Source organism: Homo sapiens, chromosome 1 (assembly GCF_000001405.40).
Source record: "Homo sapiens chromosome 1, GRCh38.p14 Primary Assembly".
NCBI lineage: Eukaryota > Metazoa > Chordata > Mammalia > Primates > Hominidae > Homo > Homo sapiens.
The window spans coordinates 112,238,556-112,265,326 of NC_000001.11; the positions used below are offsets into that span (position 1 = coordinate 112,238,556).

The following is a 26,771-nucleotide window of genomic DNA, read 5'->3' on the forward strand; positions in this document are numbered from 1 at the left end:
ACCCTGACTAACACACAGATCCAAAGTCTTTACCAAGACCTCCAGGGTCTTATATAATCAGACCTCCTATTACCTCTCCTTCTCCTCTCCATCTTCCTCCTCATTTCCTTCCTCTCCCCTTCAAATGCTGTGCTCCCACAATGTTAGCCTCAAATGAGTCAAACATATGTCCCCCTTGGGACTTTTGCACCTGCTGTTCCTTCTGCCTGGAAAGCTCTTCTGCACAGCTCACTCCTTCACTTGCTAAAGGTCTCTCCCAGCTCACTGATGTCTTATTGGAGAGGACAACCTTGACACACGCCTCTGTCCCATATAAAATAGCAATCCATCCCCATATGACATTCCTAAGTCTTCTTCTCCTGCTTTAATTTTCTCTGTCATGCCCTTGACTGCCTGATATATTAAATATTTGTCTGCTTACTGTCTTTTCCCACACTAAAATGACTCAGACAAAAAAACACACAGATAGAAAAACAAGCAGTAAAGGAGGATAAAGCATGAGAAGGCATTGTCTCAAATAGGGGAGTTAGGAAAGGCCTCCTTGAGGAAATGAAATGGATACAAAGCCTAGGTGAAGTGAGGGAGAATCAGGCTGAAAATGGGAAAGAGAGGCTATGAACAGGGCACCCCACTCATATCTCCTTGTCATTCTTTATTCAGGTAAGTGCCAATGACGTCCTTCTGAGAACACCTATCACCCCTTCCTGAAGGCTTTCCTCAGCCTGCACATGGGGCAGGTCAGATGCACGGGGGCGGTGGGCAAGGATTAATACCCCTCAGCCAACAGCCCTCAGCAAATGATGGCAAGCAGTTAGAGAATAAGGACCATGGATCCAGCAAATGATGGTGAGGAGTTAAAGAATAAAGACCCTGGCTTCTTCACCCTTTCTATGGGACAACTCTGAGTCATGTTCAAAACCATCTCCCGGAGTCCCCAGTGGGACTGAGCCCACATGCCCACAGGGTTAACCTGCTCCAGGACACATTGTTTTGGCTTTCTTCCCTTCTGTACCTGCCAGTGCTTCCTGGGTTCAATGTCCCCTGGATTCATTCACATTGAAATCCTCATCTCAGAATGCAGCCTAAGACAAAAGAGAGCTCACCTGGTTGCTGATGGCTTTTTAGCCTTGAGATGGGGAGTCTGTGGGAGTGACATGCAGTGGGAAGGAGGCCTCTGCCTGGGGGAGCTGTGTGCAGGGTGGACCGCAGGCGCAGGGAGTGGGGTGCTGGAGCTGTCTAGGGGAGGCTTGTGATCCACACATCTTTCACCGCCCCACACAAAACAGAATGCAATATTCAAATCAGGCTGAGGTCCTGGAGGGAGAGAGAGGCTACACAGGCCTGGTGGTGAATCTGCAGAAGCAGATTAACCCAATCTGCATACTAAACAGCATGTAAATTACGTTATTTCAACCCATAAGTTTAGACATGTCCATAGGAATAAAAATTTATGACAGTGATAAGATGTATGGTTGGCGAAAATAAGCTAGCCCAAGCAAAATATGCTAAAAGGGCTATGGAAATTCTCCAAATTAAGTGAGTGAAGCCAGCCCCAGCCTTCAGCCCGGAGGTGGGGAAGCTGACTCCTGGCCCTCAGGGCACTCTGCTGCCTCCAGACACTACAGGAGAGGGAGAGAATGGTCAGTGCTCATGCAAAGATGGGGGAGCTGCAACCCCTGGGAAAAGGGCTCTGCCTTTGGAAGGGGTCACCTTTACAGATGAAGCAGAAATCATTCCAGGATCCAGGGTAAATTCTTTCAATAATGGTAAATAATAATAGTAGCTAATATTTTTGAGGACTTAGTATATGCCTAGCTTACTTCTGTGCCCTCTATGTGTTCTATTCATTTAATTCTTATAACCACCCCATGAGGTAGGTATCATTTTGTATTCCATTTTAATATGAGGAAACTGAGGCTCAGAAGTTAAGCTTGCAGTAAGCAATAGAACTGAACTTGGGCAGCCTGGCCCCAGAGTCTACGTATTTAACCATAATGCTCTACTGCTTCCATTGAATGTTATGTGGAAAAGAACTTTGAGAGTAATTTATTTCATCCCTCTCACCTTACAGATGAGAAAAATTGAGGCCAAGGAGATGCAGAGACGTGCTCAAGGCCATGCAGCTGGGATAGCAGAGCCAAGATCCTGGCTTAGGTTTTCAGACATCATGGTCAAGGTCTTTCATGTGCCTAGGGCACCTCCTCCCTGTGTCACTTGCAGTGGTCTTGGAAGGCTTAAGGGGCTGGAATCAGGTGAGAACTACCAGCCTGCATTTTCTTTCCTGTATGGCCCTGAGTAACAGACAGAGAAGGTCTGTCTTTAGTAGATTTGCATAGGGCAGAGCAGAAGAAGTTTAGTTTCTGCTCTCAGAAGTGTTCTTTCATAGCCAGAATACTCTACCCTGCCTGTCTGGGGTGAAAGAACTCCACAGAATGTATACCAACGCTTGCCTCAATGCCAGGCTCCTGTTCCAAGTGTCTTGACCCTGTCACTTGGCTAAATTCTCATGATTCCCAAGGGCCAAGACTTTTTTGGCCAGGGTTCATTCAGTTGAAAGTGATCAACCCAAACTCAAACCAGCTATGCCAAAGAGGAGGTTTCTGGAGGGATTGGGAAGCCAGGGTGGAGCTGGCCAGGTCCAGGAGGACATGCTGTGTCTTGAGGACTTGATGCCTCCATCTGCGTTCCTTGTGCCTGGGAACACACACTCAGGGAGGTGCTCTCCACACAGTGGGAGAGAGAACAGCCCCAAGCCCTCATTCTGAGCAGGGAGCAGAGACTCCCTCTCCCAGAGCCGATATGTCAAGTCTATTTATTCTTTCAACAGGATGCAGGGAGCCCCTATCGTGGTCAGGCACCAGGGATACAGCCATAAACAAAACAAATGTAAATCCCATGCTCTTATGGAATAAAACGTTCTATTGGAAGAAGGGTGGAGAACAAATAAAAAGCTAAATGAGTAGGTAAAATGTATAGTATGCAACATAGTGATAATCACAAGGAAAATAAAACAAGGAAGGGAGATAAGAGTGCCAGGAGTTATGTTATAAATTGGAGGTAGAGGGTAGAGAAGAACTCACCGAGAAAGTGGCTGGCATGGGAGCAAAGAGCTGAAGGAGGCAAAGGAGGGTGCAACGCAGGTATGTGGAGGAAGAGCATTTCAGGCAAAGGGAACAGCCTATGCACAGAGCCTGAAGTGGAAGTATGCCTGGCATGATGGATGCACAAAGAAAGGATCAGTGTGACTAAGCAGAGCGAGAGAGAAGGAAGTAGAGATTACAGGATCAGAGAAATAATGGGCGTGACTGGGAGGCGCATTATACCTTTGGCCACATAGAAAGGGAAATGGGTTGTCACTGAAGAGTTTGAGGCAGAGAAATGACATGACCTGACATGCATTTTAAAAAGCTCACAATAGACGTGGCACGGTGGCTCACACCTGTAATCCCAGCACTTTGGGAGGCCGGGGCGGGCGGATCACGAGGTCAGGAGAGCGAAACCATCCTGGCTAACACGGTGAAACCCCGTCTCTACTGAAAATACAAAAATTTAGCCAGGCGTGGTGGCAGGCGCCTGTAATCACAGCTACTCGGGAGGCTGAGGCAGGAGAATCTCTTGAACCTGGGAGGCGGAGGTTGCAGTGAGCCGAGATCGTGCCACTGCACTCCAGCCTGGGCGACAGAGCAAGACTTCGTCTCAAAAACAACAACAACAACAACAACAACAACAACAACAACAAACTCACACTGGCTCCTGGAACTGACTTGACTGTAGGGGGCGTGACTGATGCTAGCAGACTATTGTAGTAACCCAGGCAGAGATCATGGTGGCTTCCACCAGAGTGGGACAGTGGTAAGATTTGGAGCATGTTTTGAAATAGAGCCAAAATGACTTAATAATGACTGGGATGTGGATTGACAGAAAAGTGTCCAGAATGATTACAAGATTTCGAGCCTGAGCAATAGGAATGCTAGAATTATCATCAACTCAGATAAGGACGACTAAGAAAGGCCGGTTTGGGAGGTGGGGAAACAGTCGAAGAAAACCCACTGACACCGGCAGGATTCCATGCCTACATTGAGAGGAATCATTGTGCAAGATGGATGAATGGGGTACTCTGGTTGGCCAGCCTGTGTCAAGTGCCCTCCAATGTAGGAGGCAAAGCCTCATGATTGACAGCCCCATGGGATGGGAAAGTTATAATTCCTCAAAGGAAAGGTATACCTTTCACACAGATAGAGAAGCCACAGAGAGAAGCTAGGTGGCTTGTCCAGAGTCACACAATTTCTAGGAAATAGGAAATTTCTCTCCTGCTTCTCTTTACCCACATGCACAAAATCTGGCTGACTGCAGGCTGAGTCCCATCACCTGATATCAGTAAGAGCCTGTATGGTACACATTAGAATGAGCTCAAGTTGGCAAAATACACCCACAGGCACTAAACAGGGCCATCGCCCGTCAGAAGCAACAGCCATCTCTGAATCCTCAGGGTCTGGCACAGTGGTAGACACATAGTAGGTGCTCCAGAAACATTTACAAACGAATGAACAAAGCAATGGAAGCCCCACCGGGCTAGCCACTGGAAAAGTGGTTCTTTTGCTCAACTTCTTCCTAGGCTACAAAGAGATATATGCTATGGCTCTACTCTGGCCCCTCCCCTGCCCACTCCCCAGCAAAATTCTCTTTGAGAAAAATCTGTAGACATACAGAACCACTTGCTTTCCTCTTCCATAGTGGAGGAGAAGGGCCCAGAGCTGTGGTGCTCAGCAACACAGGTGGTTACTTGCTACCCAGAGGCCTGTGGCTTTGGTTTGGGGGAGTGGGAAGCTGAGCAGAGAGCCTGACCATCCAGGCTGCCACACACTCTGGCTTGTAGCAACTTCCCATCCCTGGCTCAGAAGCTACCCCTGGCTCTGGGCTGGTCCAGGGCTGGCCTAGCAGCCAAGGTTCTTTCAGTGAACCGGAAGATGGGAAAGAAAGGCTGAGAAGGAGGAGACGAGAGAAGCAGTGCCTGGGTGCCCAGAGTCAGAGGGACAAGTAACGCCTGTAAAATGTGGAGTCTAAATGAAGGGCAAGAGAAAAGAAGAGCATGAAGGAAGGAGGGAGAAAGGAGAGGAGAGGGAGGGATTGATTCCTCCAAAGCAGGCCAAGCCCCCAGGATCTGGCTGCTCCTAGAATCATCCTCCTGCAGAGGAGAAGTGAAAGGCCTCCTGCCAGTGGTCAGTGGGCGTGGACAGGAGAGACAGGAAGGACCATATCCTGATCCCTCTCCCCATCCTTTCTCCACCCTTCAGGCCCCAGGAGGCTGACACCAGAGGACTGTCTCACCAGGCTCCCTTGCTGTGCATCCAGTAGGGTTTGTAGGGGGGCCAAAGCAGGAACAGCTGGCAGAGTTCAGAATATGGGAAGAGAGAAAAGTCAGGGCATTTCTTCCCTATACCCTGCCTGTTTCAGGGCCACGTCTCTGGCTCTATCCCTGCATGGCTGTAGCTCCTGCAGAGTGGCCTCCTTTGCACAGTTGCTCCAGGGGCACCATTCTCTACCCCACTTCAGTCCCATCTCTCCAGCCTTAGGGATAGTGCAGCTTGTCTCTAGGTGCCTCGCCATTTCTTGTTTTCCCTCCATGCTGCCCTCACTTCTGTAAATCATTCCTAAGTTAAGTCCTCTTCATTTTAACCATCTGGGATGAACCATCTGAGATGAACCCATTTTCTTTTGGAGACTGTGGCTAATGCAGGCCCCAAGACTCCCTGAGAAATCCTGAGCACCAAACAGTGACTAAGGGGCAAATTCGCTCATCCAGAACATGGTTACTAAAGGTCTGCTCTGTGCTAGACACATTGAAAGGCCCAGAAATGATTCAGATTTGGGGCCCACTCTCTAGAAGCACATTGTCTAGCCAGAGCTGAGGCTGCAGAGACTTGGGGTCCCCAGCTGCCTGGGGACTCCTTAGCACATCCAGCCGCTCACTGCAACCAAAGGCTGGGGCTGCTGTCTCCCTGCCCACAACTGCCTCAGGCTGCTGCTTTGTGATCACTTTTCCCTTCAAGGTTGCCCTGGATCTTCGATTTTCCTTGACTTCTGGAAAAGGATGGAGCTGGGCAGAGGGTACAGGAGAGAGGAGAGGTCCCCAGTGGGCTTTGTGTTGCTTCCACACCTCTTAACGCTTAGACAAGAGCCAGCACAGGATGTGCGGCCAAAATGCATTTATCAAAGAAGCAAGTGTTCCTCCTGAGTAGAGGGGCAAGCATGCAAGGTCCTGGCAAGATGCAGCACTGGGCTGCACACAGGGAGAAGGAAAAGCCAAGGCCCCTGGGGCGCACAGCTCCATCATCAATACAACAGCTGCCTTCAGACAGAAATGCTAAGTGCAGAGTACAATATCCAAGCGAGGGACCCCAGCTGAAGGGTCGCACCCAACAGAATACACCACCAAAGCAGAGCAAGAAACTTGTGCACTGAAGTGATACAAAGCTGACGAAGAGTTTATATAAGCATGGTTAAGAACACAGACTCTGGAATCGCAGTGCCCAAGTTCAAATCCCACTTCTGCCCCTTACTTGCTGCATGACCTTGAAGTTACTTAACTGCTCTGTGCTTCACTTTCCTCACCTGTAAATTCTGTAAATTGAGGATGATAATAGTATCTGTCTCATGGGTTTGTGGTGGAGACTAAGTTAGTTATGAAGCTAGTAAGTTACAAAGCAAGTGCTCTTAGAACAGTCAGCCACAGGCGCATTACAAGTGCTATATATGTGCTTGCTATTATTAGTATTTGCTATTACAAAAGAGCAAAGCTGCATGGGCACAAGGGCAGACTACAAGCTGTGTAGACGTGATAGTATTGAAAATTATCAGCCAAGTGACACCAAAGCACACTTTACTTTTTGTATTTTCTACATGACAAAAGTTTTTTGACTTTTCTTGTACCATGCAACTTTGAAGAATAAACACACCTTATGCTTCAAAGTTGCCCAGCTAATTTCATCTTCTTTTGAAGATGGTTTTATAATGTTTCTGATACAATTTTCTTCACTTCCATGAAGTTGAGGGGCACCTGCCAGTCCAATCCAAGAAAAGAGGAATCACAGTTTTGCCTGGAACTGGATCTAAAGGAAGCCTCCCAAATGAAGACCAAATGGCAGGTGCAGAGAAGTGGTGCCCCACAGAAGTAAAGAACAAGGATTCTGGCATTGCACTGGAGTTCAAATCCCAAATAGACCACTGACAAGCTGTGTGACCTTGGGAAAGTGGCAACCTCCTCAAGCTTCAGTTTCTTCACCCATAGTTAGGAGAGATAGCTCCCTCTTCCAGGAGCTGTAAAAAGATCAATTACGTAAATCAAGGTCTACAGGATGCCAAACTCCAAGTCTGCTTTGGCATAGGTGCCCATCGCACTTTCCACTTTCTTTTTCCTGGAGAAATGGCCCTATTACCCACAGGCTGCCTGGGCTCAAGGAAACAACAGCAGGTGGCCAGGCCCTCCTGGTGTGGTCTCACACCAGGGAGCTCTGCCTGAAGAATAAGCTGCTGGTTCGATCCCAGCTGTTCTGAGGCCCCCCCTGAACTGACCCCATTTCCAGAATTGGCTAAGGGCTCCTCAAATAAGCAAATGCCTCCAGGAGGATGAAAGGAAGACTCGTGCAAAGCTTTGAAGCCTGCCATAATGCTGCACCAGCTCCTCCTCCCTGCTCAGGACATCTCCTGAAGGAGGAGATACAAAGAGAATCTGTGATGAGCAAATGAGGGACAGCCAAGGGCCAGGATTTGTAGCAACAGCTTAAGTCTCTGCTTTCTTGTCAGCCCTGATGGCTGGCAGCGAGGATAATTCTAAATGAAGAATGGTTTTCAAGGAGGAGCAAGAATCTCTCATCTGAAACAATTTGTTGTCCAAAATTGTACTGCAGAAGTTGTTTAGAAGGTGCAGATTAAGTTGTGCATAAAAATATAGTCAGCTCTTGATTATCCACATTGATGGATAATCCAAAAACAACACATACCTCGAAGTGATTTCTCTTTGGTTTCATAACACAGTATTATTTTTCCTTCAACATTTTTAGCTTTCTTCATTTAACTGTCTTCAGGATATAACCAAGGAGCTAGGGGATCTGTAACCTTCTGTTAATTACAGAATAACCAAGGTTTCAGCACCATGCCCTCCAAGGCAGGAGTTGCCTGAATGGAATTTGTAGATAAAAATACTATTTAGGAAAATGGTGAAAAAGAAGAAAAACTATTTAACATTTGTACTTCCTACACATAGACAAAGAAGAGGCAATTAAGAGCGTAGACTCTGGAGTCAGACTGCCAAAATTCAAATCCCAGCTCTATCTTTGAGTACTTTATTTAACCTCTGACAGCCTCAGTTTTCTCATCTGTAAATTGGGGTTAATAACAATAGCAATGTTAGAAGGCTGTTGTGAGGATTAAATGAGATCATCTATGTAATATGTTTAGCATGGGGCCTGGCACACAGGAGGTATTCAATGGATGTAAATTAATACCAGTAAATGTTAGTTACAACCAGCTCTCAGCAAACTGGGCAGCTCATCTCCTGCAATTGTGCTCAGTAATACCTTGTGGAATTCCCTGAAGGACCCCAGGGACTGTAGACAGTTTGCCACCCCCTCCAATCCCCCAGGGTGGGGGAATGATGCCAGGTTTCATGGGGAGAGAGGCAGCTGCAGCTGTGGACAGATACTGGGGTTCTCTGGAGAGCCAGGACAGCTGTTGATTCCTGTGTGTGCTGAGCAAACGGCCCACCATCCTATCTTAATTATCCTGCCTAATGGGGTAAGGCGATTATGATTCATGGAAAATTGGCCATTGGCAGCTTGGCTTAGGAAAGCAAACAGCCCTCAATGGCCCAGAACAAACAGCAGGTCAGGAGAAAGACTCAGGTGTGCCCAGTGAGAGGCAGCTGCCATGTGTGAAAGGGGAGGTCAGAAGGCCTTCAGCCCACTCATATATGGCTCTGAGAGGTGGGGAAATGGAAGTAGGGGATATAGAACTACCCAGGTAGAGTTGAGTGCAGACACCAGGAGAACTGCTCTGAAGCTCAAAGGTCCAGAGTTCATCTCAATCATCGCCCTGCCTCTGAGGAACCCAAAACAGCTCAGGCCAAGGTGAAGTTACAGAATAGCACTTACCTAGAGTAAGGTGACCTGAATTCTAGGTCTGGCTCTGCCAGGAACTTAATAATAATAATAATAGTAGTAGTAGCAGTAGTATTAACAGCCTCTTATTATGAACCGGATACTGTGCTAAGCTCTTTACATAGATGATCCATTTAATCCTCACAACAGCTTTATGAGGAGGATATTAGTTTTGTCCTCATTTTTCAGATGAGAGGATGAGTCTCCTATTATAAGGAAATCGCCTTAAGTCACCCAGCTAATAAGTGGGTGATCTGGGATTCAAACCAAAGTCCTTGTGACTCCCAAGTCCCTGCTTTTAACCAATCCCCTGAGCCACTCATTTCAGTGGGACAAGCTCAGTTGCTTCATCTGCAAAGGGATATCCAGCCCAAAATTTTGGAGGAAACCCCAGAACGAAAACTCTCAGAGACAGGAGCTGCTGCCTTCTGCATTCTGCCTAAGGGCATGGGGCCAACCCACTTGAGGGAGACAGAGGAGCTCAGGAGTCCAGGCTTGAAGGTTAACAATGGTGATTTTCTTTTCACATTGTTTATAGCAAGGGCTTTGAAGTGTCTCCCAGTGTTTTCACACACACCCTCTGAGGCCCGTCCAGCCCAGGCCTTGGATCATAGACAGCCAAGTGTCCACAGATGCCTTGGGTCAGGTGCACCACTGACACTAGGCTCAGGCCCATCCTGCAGCCTCTGCTCAGCCTCTGCCTCTGAGCCTAGTCTCTTTCTCTGCCTCGGGCTGCCCTGCCACAGGCCGCTCATGGACAATCAGCAGGCTTTAGATCTGGAGCCCACTTGAAGCTGCCCTAGACCCCAAAAGAAGAAGGACACTGAGGCACTGCTTCTGAAAGGGTTTCTGACTACCCTCCTCTCCTTTTCTCTACCCTCACTCCCCACAGCATGTCCAGATACAGAGGCATGAGCTGGAGAAGGGCAGCTCAGACAGTTCGGCCTGGGTCTGAATGAAGCTGGGCCTGCTCTTCTAGTTTGAGAGATCTAGCACCAGGCTGATCAGTACTCAGGTCACAATGGGACTCACTCCCCTTCCCCTGCTGTCCTCTCAGCCCTCCAGGAGCCTCAGCTGCAGAGCCAGCATCATGTGCTATGCAGACTGAGTTTTCTGAGTCTGTACACAGTCCTCAACCCTCAATCCATCATCTCTACTGCATCTAACTCATCTCTTTGTACTCTCTCTCTCCGATTTCTCTCTGCATTTACCCTGGCTCTCAACCACCAGGCCGTCCTCCATCCCCTCCTCTGTGGCAAAGAATTGGAGAGAAGAGTGTCTGTGCTGGAAGGGACCTTACAGATTGTGTGGTCCAAACCTTTCATTCTATAGGTGAGGAACTGAGGCCAGAAGGCCAGCTGGACCAAAGTCATGTGGTTGGTTCAAGGCAGAACTCTGGCTGGACCCAGGGCTCTTGCATTCCTGATCAGTGTTACCCCTTTCAGAGGGATGCTTGTCAAGTTCTGGGAGCAAGTACCAAGCCCAGGGCAGGGCTGGGCACTCAGGAGCCTCTCAACAAGGGGCTAACTGGCAGTCTGTCTTGTCTCTCCACTTGCTCTCCCTCTGGCTTGGCAGGAGCGAAACGCATTAAATAATGACTGCTGGCCTCATTGAGCCCTGCGATCCAGTGATCACTTCTATTCAGTCTCTTCCCAATATAAAGAAAAGCTCCTGAGACTCAAGTATAGATCAGGAGATGGGCTTTGTAGCCAATGAAGAACTTTAGCCCAAAGAAACAGGTCATGTGTAATTAGCCGCAGTTCCCAGAGACTGCTTCATCACCCTTTCTCCTAACTCCACTTCCACACCTACCCCCACTCCCACCCTCCACCCCCACCCTCAGCTCTCTGTCCTTGGATCTCTGAGCATTTGGATCTCTGAGCCAAGAATTTGCTTCTCAGAGAGTAATTGCCCCTGGCTCCCCCTCACTTCTAATCAACAAGCCAAGGTATTAGTTCCTGGGAGCATGATTGATTTCCAGGGACTTGGAACTTAATTACATTTTAGCAAAGTCTGTTTGGAATCCTCAGAGAAGCGAGACACTTTCAGTTCTTTGAACTTACCATGTAGGAGGGCTTCCAGCATCTCAAATATTCAATTCATCCTTCCTCAGGCCAAAAGAGGGGCATTCTATGGCTGTCAGTTTTAATTTTTTCTTACCCAAGATCTCCAACCTCTAGAGCCTGGCCAGAGGAACTTGGCTCTCTCATGCTGAAGAATTCTTCACGTGGTCCTCCCCACGCCAGCAGCTTCCCCATCATGCCCAGGGAACCATGAATCCCGCCTGGGATCCAGGTCTGTGTGCTCCTCCCTGGTCTGCAGGCAAAACCAGCAACCCACCTGCTGCATCAAGCTGGTCCCAGCCTCTGGCTCCCATCTCCACCTCACGAGGTATTCTTTTTATTATTCTAACCATCGTCATCTTCATCATTATTAAAAACTACCATGATTGAGCACTCATTGTGAGCTGGGCACTGTAAGATACCTTACACACACCAGCTTATTCCATAAAGCCCAACGAAGTAGATGTTAATCTCTTTACTTACCAGTGAGGAAATAATGGCTCAGAAAGGTTTAGCACTTTGTTCAAGATCACAGAGCTAGAATTGGGCATGTTGATCTTTCAGTGACCCCATCCCTCTGGAAAATTGCCTCAGTGACATTTTCTGCCTCAGCACATTTTCTGCTACTCTGCTGACCTGCCCTGTCCCCTGTCTCTCCAGGACCACCTCGCCTCTGATCACATGTCCCCTCTAACCCCCGAACACTTCCCTCCTTTATAAAATAGTGTAGACCAATGGGTGAGTTCAAATCTAGTTGCTGAGTATCCATGTCAGTGAAAAATGCTGCTTCATGAAAAAACAGAGATAGTGTGAACAGCCCTGAGGATGCGCAATTTGGGGAGAAGTGTGGACACTGCCACATAAATGGGCCAGCCTGTGACCTCTTCCACCCATTTCCTGAGCCTGGGCCTGAGAGTTAGAGTGTTGCCCTTGGCTTTCAAGAGTACCTAATAACATCATGAAACAAATGGGTCAAAATGAAAACAACTGGTAAACCTAGGTACAGGCTAAACAGGAATTCTTTGTGGCATTTTTGTAACTTTTCTGTAAATATGAAATTATATCAAAATTAAAAGCTTTAAAAAATAGAGTTCTGGTTCAATTTATGGATCTATTTATAGTTGTTTTTGCAATCCCAGTCTATACTGGGCATTTCACATTAATGATTTAAAGCTCAAGAACAATTTTAATAACATCTATATAATAAAGCCACATGAGATTGCTTTTGAGATGACAGAGTGTTATAAATAAGTAAATGCTGTAAGAAGCAACGTAGGGAAATGTACTTGATGACAACCACATGCTTGTCTGGCCTCCAAGAATCACATGAGCTGGATTCCTTGTCTTTCTGTGAAACCCACCTCTCAGAAGGCCTCTCACCAGAGCTGTCCCCTCCCTTGCCCTACATCCTTACCCATGCGGACTGCTGGATGAAGCCACTGCTTCCTGCCTCAGGTACTTACTCACAGCAGTTGTTTCCTCCAGATGTGCCCCTCCCCACAAATGGGTCTAGTTCAGTGTCTGCCCAAGCCTACAGGGTCGTACTGTGTCCCAAGATGTGGCTCGAGCCCTGAACCATTGAGAGTATCTCAGACCTGAACCCAGGGAAATCCACTGTCTTGCCCCATTGCACTCTGCCTTCTTTCATAGGTCCAGAGCTTGTGTATTACCAGACAAGATGCCAGTTCATTTGGAAGTTCTTGCTCGCAGACTCAGATTTTTGATCCTTGGATGGATTTTAGTGATGTTTCAAATTTGGGAGCTTCCCAGGGGTTATGGATCTGGTTAGATCAGCACAACTCTTGAGGACATATTGGGGAAGAGGCCTAATGTTTTTAGAAATAGATTTACAAACTCAGATCTTTATAGAATAGTGCAGACCAATGGGTGAGTTCAAATCTAGTTCCTGAGTATCCATGCCAGTGAAACATGCTGTTTCATAAAAAAACATAGATACTGCGGACAGCCCTGAAGATATTTGCATATCCGAGCAGCCCAATCTAGGGAGAAGTGTGGACACTGCCACATAAATGGGCCAGGCTGTGACCTCCTCCACCCATTTCCATAGCCAACGTATATATAGTGCCAAACAAGAACCCTCTGTCTTCAGACATTCTCAAAGGATTGGTAAGCCAGCGTCCAGGAGCATGATTCATCATCTTGCAGATATGTTGCTCCACCCTAGCCCTGCACAGGGCAACCCTGCCTCTTCCCCAACCCTGGCTGGGATCCAGTTCAAAGAACACATCGGGGGGTATCTTGGCTCACCAACATCTGGAGTCCCTGCAAGGGCATGTTCTAGAGATCATAAGACGCCAAACTTCTCTAGCTGTAGGCATCCCTGAAGACACTTGTTATTCTGAGAGCCACTAAGTCATTGCTGGAAGTGGAGGAACAGAGAGGAAATGACAATGATGAAAGAAAGCTGAGGACTGGAGTGGAAAAGGGAGGAGAATCCATGACTGTGGAATTTCCAAACCTTTCAGTGAGGGCAAGGAGAGCCACCCTTTTATCTCATCCCCGCCCTCCCTGCCAGCCACTTGCCACCCCCATTTACATGGACCCATTTGTCAAATGGCCCGGAAATGTCCACAGGCAGCCAGATCTGACCTTCCCCAGAGAGCAGTGAAGGCCAGGCCTGCTCAGCAGCAAAGCCCAGCTCCAACCACCCCAGGAATAAAAGTGAAAAAGGGAAATAGTACATGGCACAAGGATGTGGCAGAGAGAAGTGAGTGTCTGAGCCTACGCCCAGGAGGGAAATCACATAAAGAGATTCTCAGGAAATCACATATGTAATCCCAGCACTTTGGGAGGCCGAGGCGGGCAGATCACGAGGTCAGGATATCGAGACCATCCTGGCTAACACGGTGAAACCCTGACTCTACTAAAAATACCAAAAATTAGTCGGGCATGGTGGCAGGCACCTGCAGTCCCAGCTACTCGGGAGGCTGAGGCAGGAGAATGGCGTGAGCCCGGGAAGCAGAGGTTGCAGTGAGCCAAAATCGCACCACTGCACTCCAGCCTGGGTGACAGAGCGAGACTCTGTCTCAAAAAAAAAAAAAAAAAGGAAATCACATAAAGAGAGCACAGCCAGGGCCACCTTGAAGCCCCACTGTGGGAGATAATGATGAAGGCCTGGTGCTTGGAGCCAGACACTCTGTAGGACAAGTACCCTTGGAAAATATGAAAGTGAGGTCAATTCCTACCAAGACGGAAATCAGAGCAATTTACAATATTAGGAGCAGAACTTACTGGAAGGTGGTGGGGGCTGGCAGAGGCACCCCCAAAAGGAAAAGGTATGGGAAGAATAGGCCTTGGAATTGGGCCCAGCTGCTTTACACTTTCCAGAGATTGGGTCTAGCTGTTCTCTCATCACTCCATTCTCTATGATCCTTTTCTGTTTTAATGCTTAGCTGAAGATTCTGGTAGCTTTTTCTTATTTCCAAGTTAACTGAGCAACAGTGCTTACCATCTTTACCACACCCTCTCTCTACCCCATACACACACACATTCATTTCAAAACAGTGACCCTGGGCCTCTCCTTCCTTTTGAATAACCCTATCCTTTTCCCTCTCCTGCCGTTGTCCACAGAGCCCAGCCTTCCCCCTTCACTCCTGAGACCTCCTCCTCTCAACCGTCTTCCCAGGAGGTCTGCCTGTAACTGGGAACTGGAAACTACAGGGAGAGAGACTAGGAAACAAAAGATCGTGGAAGAAACCCATGAGTTTGAGCTCAGGAGCTGCAGGCTTTCTATGACTGGCCTGAAATGACAAAGAAGACAGCCCAGCAGCAGCTGCAGATGAAGCCCAGCCCCAAAGCTGAGGAAAGGGCCAGGGACAAGTGAGAGGGAGTGAGCTGATATGACAAATATCATCATCATTATAAATACTCCCTCTTTGATATTTACTATGTGCTAGGTACATGGCTAAACTCCCTATCTCATTTAACCCTCAAAACAGCTTTTAGGTAGGAATTTTCTCCATTTACAGGTGCGAAATCCAACTTAGTGATATAATTTGCCCAAGGCCACAAACACAAATAAGACCAAGATTAGAGAAATCTGAAGCTAAGATTGTCATTATCTGGTCCCAGTGACAATCTTAGCTTCACTACTCATCTCCCACCTCTCACCAGCAGGCGAAAGAAGGTAGATGTGGAGGAGGGGCTGTGCAGAAACCTCAGAAGGACCCCGTCCCCTGACTCCATCACCAGCTGAGGTAAGGGCTCTTCCCCAGTCCTGTGTCTGGGTCCAGGCTCCTCGCCTGACAGCACCTGAGATCAATTCCAGGTACATTTTTAACTTTTCCACAACACAGGTGGCCCCGTGGGCTGAGACTCAGGAACCCACCTCATCATCTGGTTCTGCTCACTGCCTCTTACTGTGATTTTTTTTCTTCTCCCGGCCTCGATTTATCTACCATAAAGTGGCTGACAGTTACCAGCTTCTCCTTCTGTTCTACAGAACTATCTGAGAACGCATTGAAGGTTAAAAAGAAAAGATTGACACTCTTAAGAAGAATGATGTTAGTCGTTGTTGATATTAATATTTTACCTGAACAATAGGAGGTTCCTATCCAGATCCTCTGCCCCCTTGGCTGTGGGAGTGCCATGGGGAAGAATGAGAATCAATCAATGAGCTCAAAAGTTGTAGGACTCAGAAAGGGGCCAGGTGCCCTGAAAGAGACAACCCAATAGTGCTTTTCTCCACTAGAGCAGGTCAAGACACCAAAGTTCTGGCCAAAGCCAAGTGCAGGCAGAGGAGGTCTATCATTTGGCAGGGGAAAAAAAAAATGAATAAAATATAGAGGAGGAAGGGAGAAAGGATCTTGTTTCCTATATCTAAAAATGCACCCACAAGATCAAGCTTAAAAACCTGTGTGAGCTGTTCAAAACAGACAAAAACTCTGCTTAGCTGTGATGGGCTGGGCTGGACTAAGAAGACACATTTCTAAAACATCAAAAGGAATGTACCAGTAACAGCTCACAGCCCTCAGACCCACCTTCTCTAGGAATTTCTTTCCAGGCGGTATTTCTAGGGTCTCATGCATGGGAAAGCCAGGGTTGGAGATTCACTTGGTCAACCTCCCTAGTTACCTCAATAACTAATCATCATCACCCTTGAGGGAGGTAGGAAGGATTGAGAGCCTCAGAGGAGAGAGGTTTTAATTAGCCAGCTACATGTTTTTGCACATAGACAATGATGATATGTCCAATCCTTCAACTAAAATTTATTAATTACTCTGTACCAGACATTGTGCTATACTTCTGTGTGGGTGAGAGGTGGTTAATACATGGTCCCTGTTCCCCAGGAATTCTTGACTAGTAGAAGAGACCGACACATGGACAACTAGCCACTAGTGCACATGATGCTGAGTGCAGTCATGGAGAGATGAAGAAACTGCTAGAGGAACATAGAGGCAGGACCCAAGGAGTCTTCACAGAAGATGTGACACTTGATCTGGTTATCAAAGGATGAGTAAGAATTCTCCAAGGAGACAAGAGGCATGAGAATCTTCTAGCAGAGAGAACAGCTGCAGCCAATGCAAAATCATATAAACAAGTATGAGTGATTTGGTTTGACAGGAATGTGGAATACACAGGGCCTGGTGTGGTAGGTGATGACCAAGCATCATGAACAAACATTTACTGGGCACTGGGCATGGGGCAGAAGGACCACTATGCTCTGTCCCTAGGGACAAAAAAAAGTCCCTAATCACAGCCCTTCCAGAGGGTAGTCATGTTGGAAAGAGTACTCAGTGTTTTACTGGATTCCTAAAAGGATCATTGGGTTATTTTAGCAAAGTTCCCATTTCCTTCATGAAGCTATTCTAAAATCAGAGAGATTTTACTAGCATTTGAGCAAAGAAAGATCCTGGACTCTCCTTCCCCAACCCTTGAACTGAGGCTGTGCTAGTACTGCACATGTTTACCCTCAGATACATTCTTCACCCTTTCTTTGCTCTATTCTGTGTTATGGTGAGGACAGGGGAAACTGGGCCATGCAAGTTGCATCTCCCAGATTTCTGGCTGGATTCAGCCAGTGGGAGGTACTTTCAGAGGACTAGAGGTGAGGAGGAATGGAGAAGTCAGGATATTTCTCCCTCTCCCTCTTTGTTTCAACTACTGCCTCTTCAGCAGCTGTGACTCCTCCATGTCCCACTAGACACATCTACCCTGGTTCAAGTTCACACTGAACACTTCCGCCATGGTCCCAGTTTCCACCTAATGACCTCAACCTCTGGGCTCTGGTAACATCTCACCCTCCCTTTGTCTCCCCAACCTAAGGTGGTAGTGTCTTCCAAGGGTTGCTGATTTCTGCATTCCCATACAGTTTCCTGTTTGGCTTCCCAACTCTTCTATTACTAGTTTCTTGTATTAAATTCTCACTGTTATAAATACTTAAAGTGATCTCTGTCTTCTGATTTGTACCCTGACTAACATAGAGACTGCATTTTAGTGGTCTTTGAGTCTCCCACAGCACCTAATACAGTGATTTTATGTGCTAATTTGTTAGATGAATGGATGGGCAGATGGGTGGATGGATGGATGGATGGATAAACAGATGGTTAATTAAATAGATGAGCAGTGGTATGATTGGATGGATGAGAGTTGAATGGATGTTCATAATTTAATGAGGATGTTTTAATTTCATAAGTATAAAGGAGTAAATTCTAAAAGAACTATGCAGAAAGTGATTCTAAGACATACAAAAATGGCCAGAAATTTAGAACAGCTGTGCTGCCACAAGTCAAGCCCAAAAAGAATCCAGCTGCTAGAAAAGCACAAGAAGAGAAGGAGACTTTGTGAAATTTATTTCTTGTTGCATCTGAATTGAGTCACTCATTTCTTCATTCTCTTTCTGGATCTCTTCCTATATTGGCAGAGAGTGGTGGGGGAAAGACGTGTTTATGGCAAATAGTCCTAATTTTCATCTGGCAGACATTTCCATCCCATTTATTATGCCTGAGCCTCTGCAAAATGAAGGAGATATAATGGAAAGAACCTCATCACCATTGATTCTTAGTCATGTACACTTGAAGAAGATGCCAAATGGCTACAGTCCTGGGCTGGAAAGAACCTGATTGGCCAGATACCTATAGTCTGTAGGGTTCTTAAGGACTTTTAACAATTACATTCTCAGAATCCTGCATCCTTTTTCTAAGTATATTGCCTTGAATAATTAACAACATAGAGACCAAGCCCTTCCAAAGCCACTTTGTTCATTCCCCTCATTAGCAGGGTTGTACTGAAAGATATTCAATAAAAGATGTTTCCATCTTAGCCACTGACACTGGCATATGAGAGCATTGAGCATCCAAGTTCCTGGATCTGCCACTTATCTGCTGAGTACCACAGCAAAGTCAGCACCCTTCCATGAGCTTAAGATTCTTTGCCCTCTCCTTCACCAAATTTTTATGAATACCAGATGAGATGACTGTGACAGATAGTTGAAAACCATACAGCTCAACACCATGATGTCATCTGTTTTATGGTCAATCAGTTGCCTACACAGATCTAACCTATTAATAAAAGCCTCTAGTTGAACTGTAATCTTGTTCTGTCATCTAGAATGGATCCTCCTACCGACAAATCAGAAAGCAATAGGTCATATTCAGAGTAAGAAAGAAACAAAAATTTACTTAATAAAAGGGGCTGCCACCAATCAGATCTGTATTGATGAAAAATTACCAAAATAAGTGAAGTGTATCTTTGGTTTCCTCACCTCCTGGTACTCTCCTCCTTAACCCAAGAAAAATTTCTCATCTAAGGTTCCCTCCAAAGACCAGTGCTCTGAGTCTACAAGATGTTGTTCATTCTTCCCATTTCCCTACATCAGCCTCATCCTCTTCCAGTGCTGCTGATCTCCTCTCATTGTCATGATTCAAAAGTGCCAGTCGGGGCCGGGTGTGGTGACTCATGCCTATAATTCCAGCACTTTGGGAGGTTGAGGAGGGCTGGATCTCCTGAGATCGGGAGTTTGAGACCAGCCTGGCCAACGTGGTGAAACCCTGTCTCTACTAAAAATACAAAAAAAAAAAAAGCCAGGCGTAGTGGCAGGCGCCTGTAATCCCAGCTACTCAGGAGGCTGAAGCAGGAGAAATGCTTGAACGCGGGAGGCAGAGGTTGCAGTGAGCCGAGATCACATCACTGCACTCCAGCCTGGGTGATGGCAAGGCTCCATCTCAAAAAAAAAAAAAAAAAGAGTGCCAGTCGGGTCAAGTCACACTAAGATATAGTACAATGTGGTGGAACCCCTGTACTCCTCTCATGTGTGGAGCCCTAACCTTCTAATGGTTGAACATTAGTCCCAAGTCTTCAGTTGATGTTTCAGACGGAGCAGAGGAGATATTTGGAGAGTGGAAAGTGGAAGAGAAGGCCTTTAAGAAAGCCCCAGTTACACTTCTAGGAACAAATTATTCAGACTCAAAGTAAGCCCACATGGTACTGAGGAGAATCTTTCCTTCCTTCTACTCTTCTTTCTCCCAGCCCAATTCAAAGTTGTAAGTCAGAAGTAAATTTCTCCAGAGGATTTTTATCCCCTCATATCTAGGGGGATACAGATGTAGGTTCTTTGTGTTGATAGCTCTTGGAAGGGGAGCAATTTCCTCCCTATCCAAGACCAGTTTTTAGTCAACTCCCAAGCATTCTCATGATGACGAACCATTTTATAAAACTTCTCTGAGTTCATGCCAGGCTGGCTTCCCCTGCCATATTGGCTGTGCCCTTGCTTCCTCTCTGCACCATGGGTTAGTGATTGTTCAAAGCATAAAACTACTTTTCGGATTAGCTACAACAAGGCATAAGGAAATAAGGATGTCTGTTGGCACTGACTCATACAATATATTGCAGAGCCAATTTAAATGATCAAGTCGATCAATAGTTACTTATTGAGCATCAGCCAGCTCTGGCTATTCTCTGCTCAGAATATGTACTCCTCACTTCCCCTTCACAGCCCTTTTTGAGACCTTCCTTTTACTGACCCACCACCACCATCATCACTATCACTAATAATCAATGTGACACCCCTCCAGGAGCTGCCCAGAATTTCAGCACTGCATGTCAAACTAAGTGGGGGTGAGGGTGGGGGTTAACTGGCTTCCTTTTTCTCCCTTTGTCAGAAGCAGATGGGAAAGGTGGGAGGAAAGGGATTGCTTATTTTCTAATCTTGCCCAAAGCCATCTCTATTTTGACGGTCAGTTCCCTCCATCCTCATCCCAAGCCCAACAGTAGCTTGACTGACAGTGGCCCCCATCCCAGCATAGTTCCAAGAGGCCCTAACTGACCTTGTTTACATTGCATGGAAATGCCTCTGCACTGCAGAACTTTCAGTTTCAGGGTTTTGCAAATTTTATGAGAATTTTCAGACAAGCTGATTTTTAGCTCCCCCTTTCCCCTCCAGCTAAAATCAAGATCTTTCATCCAGCTCTGATCTCAGAGGGACTTTTTTCTAAGCACTTGGGACATGATTAAATAACAGGCACATGTGCACATACCAGCCCAAAACCCTTTTTGTTTCCCAGATCTTTCTTCAGTAACGAAGCCTGAAATGGAAAACTACTGTGCAAAGAAACTGTAGCTGCAAGAGGAAAAGGAATAGTCAACATGCCAGCCTGGCTCCTTCTGGAGAGAGAGGTGAGAAGTTTGCTCCCAAAACAAGGGCAAATAAAATGTATGTATCAAATGGAAGCCTTTCCAAGGAGAACTTTGGGAAGTTTAGTGATTACTAGTTGGTGGTCCATCAGCTGTAGATAAAGGGGAGTCAGGAAACATCTGTCTTCCATACTCTCCAGAGAGCCTGAGAGGGTAAGAAGAGCACTGGCTGCCAGGAGCATGGTTTTCATTGTCCAGTTGACGTGATCATTAACTCTTCCAATTATGGCAATATAAAGAAATCATTAAAATGCAAATATTACAGCTGTATAAGTTTATAGCTGCATAACTACATCAAAAGGCCACCTTTGTAGGTCTTTATGTGCTCCATAAACCTGAATAAATTGCAGCAAAGAGAAAAAGATTACTTCAATATGAATCAAAAGCAAATTCAAAATTTTTGTCCTACTCTGTGGAGATAGCAGCAATGAATGGCTTGGCTCCTTCATGACCCCTGGCCTGCTAGGTACCTGCAAGAGTTTTCTCTTTGCCCTAGGTTTGCATCTCCCATGATCTGTCTTTGGTCAAACTGATCCAAACAAATGAAAGCCAAATAAGTGCATAAAAAAAAGTTATCACAACCTCATACCCTTATATAATGTTGTATAGTTCTCACATTTAACAACTTTATGGCAAGATAAGATAATTAGCCCCATTAAATAAATGAAAAGCTAATAATCAAATAATTTTTAAGGAACTTGTCTAAGGTCACAAGGTGGGCTGGATGCTGTCAGTTTGTCCCCCACTACCCCACCCCAGATCCACTCTCCACCCTTCTCCACCCTGCTCTGTGCCCTAGGAGGCTAACTTCTAGGAAATGCATCCATAGGTTCTCCTACCCTCTGATTTATAGTTGGATTAGGCCAATGGGAGGCAATAGCAAGAAAACAGAGGGTGTGAGAAGAGAGAAACTGGGATTTTTCCTCCTCTCACCCCTCCTTATTGGGTCATAGTCTCGCAGTGACTGTGGTCCTCTGTCTACAGCCTCAGGGGCTGTCAGGCAGCCCTCTCTGTGATAGCCAGGGCCTTCTCCAGGTTCTGACCATCAGTCCCTCCCTTTGCCCCTGCAGGCCTAGAGATAGTAGCAGTGTCCCTGACATTGCTGGCCCCAGACAGCATCACCATTCTTGGTTGATTTCCCTTCCCCCCATGCATACCCCTTCTTTAAACCCTCCTCATTGTTTCTTTTGAATGTGCTCATTGTGTCCTGCGAGGTCTCTGACTGCCACACACAACTAATGAGTGCTGGGACCCGGACTGGAACCTAAATCATCAAAAACCCTAAGAATCCAGGCCTCAATAATTTAGAAAATTTAATTTGCTCCAGACACAACATGCTAATTGTCATCACCATCCAAGTTCTACCTACTTTAGTTGGCACTGTGCTGGGGCACTTACAGAGAGAATTATAAGAAGAAAAACCCTGCTGTCCAGGAACCTTCATGCTGAGTCAAGCACACTGAGATAAACTACTATGTATAGTACATGCATGGGACAGAGACATCCCAAACTACTGCCTGGACAGACAATGATGGGGTGAGAGGTCATTGTGTGGAGTGAGGGTAAATGCTTTGAGAGTTGAGGACTGAATATCTAGAAAAGCAGGTGTTCTGTTTCCAAACTGGGTAGACGAGAGCAATTGGTCAGATCATTCAAAATTGCAAATGATCCTGAAACATTTCTATTTGGCCTAGACATGCATAACTAGACAATATGTCGTTGATTTGTTTGGGGATTTCTACTGCAGATATGCCTACCTAATTAATTTTTATTAGACTAATAGTGAAGAGAGTTAATATTCTTGAAGTTCACACACACCTCTGCCACCTGGGAGGGAGAAACAAAGCAATTTGGCCTCCAGTGCTCCTGAAAGTGGGCTACAGAGCAGATTACCGGTACATAGCCCACCATAGTTCACTGCCCACTTTTATGTAGGCCTGACATTTTCACTCTGTAAGACCTGAGATCATGGGTTGTGGAATGCGGTTCAGCTTTTCAGGACACAGCAGGCCCTTGTTGATCTACAATGACTCTATACTCCTTCCTCTGAAGATTCAAATGCCTCAGAATAGCAAGTTGGATCATAGACAGAGGCAGCAGTAAAAACCTGGTGTGGCTGGAGGTCAGAAGACCCTGATCCTTGTCCATCCAAGTTAAGTCTCCCTGGGGAAGTTCCTGATTTCCACTGAATTTTAGTGTTTTATGTTTTACGATGGAGAAAATAATACTTACATCAAGAGTTAAAGTAAGACACTGCGCCTGGCACATAGAGCACTCGCAATGATGAGCAAATGCTTTGTAAATGTTAACTTCTATATGTCAGCAATATTATTATAGACTTTTAGTGTTGGAATCAGTCTTGCCTTGTTTGCAGATAAGTTATACTGAATTCCAGCCGTAGTAAATTAATAGTGCTCTGATTTTTTCTTTTACAAATAATGACAGCTAATGGTTCTATGTTGCTTACTATCTACCAGACTATATTCTAAGCACTTTACAAAGATAAAACCATCTAATCCTTGCAATTACCCTCACAAAATAGGTACTATAATGGTCTCCATTCTAGAGACGAAAAAGCCAGACTCAGAGAAGTCACATAGCTACTAAGTAGCAGGGCTGGGATTCAAATTCTGGGTCTGGTTCCAGAATCTGTGCTCTTTACCACAGTGCCCTCCTTCCACAAGAATTGCTGGGCAGCAAGGTAAAACTCAGTGTACCAGAAAAATAATACAAATTATATGGTATCAGAGCACTTTCTGGCTGAAGTGATGGAAGAAATTGTGCACAGAGAGATGAGATGGAAGAGGAACAGAGTAAGCAAAGGCATAGAGGTGGGAAACTGCAGGACATATAAAAAAAACAGCAAGTAGTTCCATCTGGGGTCATGAAGAGGCTTATGGGAGACAAGAACTAAAGTTTTGAAGATGGGTTACAGTGAGGCAACCCCAGAATGTTAGGCTAAGCTACATAGATTTTTTTCCTCCCTAGAAGGAATGGGGAGCTGCTAAAATGTTTGGGCAAGAGTCCAACAGGATCAGAATTGTGTCCGAGAAAGAGTTAATGTGACAGCTGTGTGTAGGATGGTGACAAAGGGAGAGACTGCAGGCAGGCAGACCACGTGTCCCAACCATCTAAGGGGCTGCTCTCCACCTACTGAGATAAATAAAGACTTGTTGACTGACTGACAGACAGGCTGATTGACACACTGCCTCCAAACCATAAACCATCACCATCAGAGAACCCCTCCTTCACCATCAACACACAATGGCAGCTCTGCCTGAAAGTAGGCAAGGGCTCTGAGGCTAAAGTGATTGGACAGAGCCACCATGCTGCATTTGTAAATGGAGAAGAGCCAAAAACTAGGAGACTCATTCCCCACCAAAAACACCTCGAAAGAGGGAGACCAATAGCAAAAGGAACACCCCCCAGTGAGCGGAACATAACCCCAATTCTTTTTCCTTTTTTCTTGTATTCCTTCATCTTGAAGGGAAAATGCATGGCAGCTGCGTAAAAAATGATGGTTTTATTTCCACATGTGAGGTTGTCAGGGAATTTGGCTATAACCTTTTATTAGACATTAATAATTTAGAAAAGGAAGAAGCATTCCCCAGTCAAATCTAATCTCGCACAAATAAATACTTTGCGGGGGAACGAAAGCGTCACATTCATCCTGAGATGAGCAGGTGATTATCAAGCCTCCGCACATTGCTGGCATCCATCAGCTAGGCCATTCACTCTGGTTAATGACAATTGCATTACTTTCCTTGGGTCTGTTTTCAGCAGTTAGATTCATAGCTCTGGGTGAATCTCTCCTATACTGACTCTCCAAGGCTTCCTCTATGTGTCTGTGAGGATCTATGTTCTCTGTGTGTTTGAGTGTGTGCTGCAATAGTTATATAGAGGAAATAGTCTGGAGTGCTTGATGTTCATCAACAGGCTAACGTCCAGTATTAACCCAAGAGGCCCCCTGCAGCTTAATGTTCAATTAAGGCCAAAACATTCACTTTAGAGTGCAGAAGCAACTTTCACTTCATGCTCACAAGGAGGGGCACTAGTGTGCAAAAAGCCCTGGTTGACTAGATGCATTTGAGTATTTGCTTCACAAATTAGGCATTTTTTTGTCCCACGGTTCACATTTACAACTGGACATGAGTCAGCTCTTTGCAGCACTGTGCATATTGTCAGCTGTTAGCCTGCTCTTAAATGTTAGTCATAACATTTAAGACATTCTTATATTGAGGTTTCTGATTGCAAAGTCACCCCTTCCCTTAGTAAAAGAAAGTGAGCATTAAGGAAGCAAGGATGCAGTAGATAAGATAACCAAGAGAGAAATGTGTTGACTAGGAAGTATAACTGAGCTAATTTTTTCACTGTAAACAAATATAGTCACTGTGATACATTTTCCCACTGTCCTGGGTCCATGGACCAGATAAGAAGCTTGGCCACAGCTCTGCCTCACTTGGCAGAATGGAGATTTATTCTCATTCACTTTTCTACTACTCTCCTAATGCCAACCTTCCCACCCTCAGGTGAATCAATTCTCAACCAGGCCAGAGCCCCGGACAAAGCCATAAGGATCTCAGGCAGTTGCCACTCTCCCCACAAAGTGCCCAGAAATGAGGATAGCTCAGTAACCTACTGGTAAACCAGTTCTCCAAGTGGGCGGGAAACACAAATCCTGAGTTATAGTATTTGCCCATTTCCATGATGTAAATACGCCCACTACAGCCCATTTCAAGCAACCAACAGTTTAACAGCCAGCTTTTAACATTCCTGAACATTTAACAATCCGCCAGTGAGAGTCAACTTCAGCACAGCACTACCAGGTCTCCGGGCCCCGCACTGTCCCTGAGGGCCTCCGGGCTTAGACACGTGGTGGGAGGCCCTACCCCATGCATGGTCTTTGCACTTGCTGTTCAGCCCCTGGAGTTTGTGCAAGAGTCAGAACCCAACATACTTCTTAATCAACATCTTGTTCAGAAAGTGTCACTTGCCATAAATATGGGCTTTTAACCTGTCTCCTTGGCAGCCACCTCCAGGAGTAGGGACAGGGAATTCATCATAAATTTCAGAGCTGGTAGATTTCAAGGGAGCAAGAGAGGCTCTTCATCCACAGGAACTGTGGAGGTAGCATGTCTCCCAATCCCCATCACAGAGGAGGAGGACAACTATCCAGCCTTTTTAGTGTCTGTCACTGTTCTGAGTGTCCAGGCCAGAGAAAAAAACAGCCTGGACTTTGTTTACATAAAGTACAAGAGGGAGAGTAAGGGAGTACTGACCTCGGTGGTTTGGAGATTGGAGATCTGCATGGGTTCAGAGTTGGAAACCCATCAACAGTTATTAAGGGGATTACAGGAAACATTTTGTAACCATAAAAGCTGCTGCCAGAAGCTAGAGAGAGGAAACAAATAAGACACAGAAACAGGGAGCTGGGAACTGAGACAGGGTCAGAGGCAGAAATGAAAGGGGAGAGAGACAGAAACAGATGGATAGAGATCGTACTGAACCAGATTCTGTTAAACTTAAAAAGCCTGAGATGGACATATTTCTTTATTGATTCTAAACTCTTGGGTGCAGTTCAAACCCCATTCAACCAATGTTCCCTATCCCCTACCTCAATTCATGGTTTAATTTTTCATCAGACCTGACAACATACCCTCCATTTTGTTCAAACTCATAGGCCCTAGCAAAATGCTCTAACCCGACTCTGTGGCTTTATGTAGGCCATTTCCCTTCTAGAAACATTGTCTTCCCTTCCAAATGACTTTCTCTTTCCCCAAACTCATTCTAACTCTCACTTCCTCCAGAAGACGTTCCGGGTTAACTGCCCTGGCTTTGAGCACTTTATTTCTCTCTTGCTCTCTTACCACTTAGGTGCTCAATTTGGATGAACCTTTATCCT

At 46.0% G+C, this 26,771-nt stretch overlaps 1 long non-coding RNA gene across 2 annotated transcripts in view, besides 1 other annotated feature; it reads right to left on the reverse strand.

Annotated features, from left to right (window-relative positions):
- The window catches only part of LINC02884 (long intergenic non-protein coding RNA 2884), a 130,935-nt gene that overhangs the window by 8,883 nt on the left and 95,281 nt on the right, over positions 1-26,771 (reverse strand). The gene's annotated exons all lie outside the window — the stretch shown is intronic.
- Positions 12,720-13,919: an enhancer, noted in NCBI's record as "CDK7 strongly-dependent group 2 enhancer chr1:112793897-112795096 (GRCh37/hg19 assembly coordinates)". NCBI's record gives its function as "activates an origin of replication core promoter dependent on BRD2, BRD4, P300/CBP, MED14 and CDK7 cofactors, with strong dependence on CDK7, by STARR-seq in HCT116 cells {active_cell/tissue: HCT116}" and the evidence as "EXISTENCE:reporter gene assay evidence [ECO:0000049][PMID:35650434]".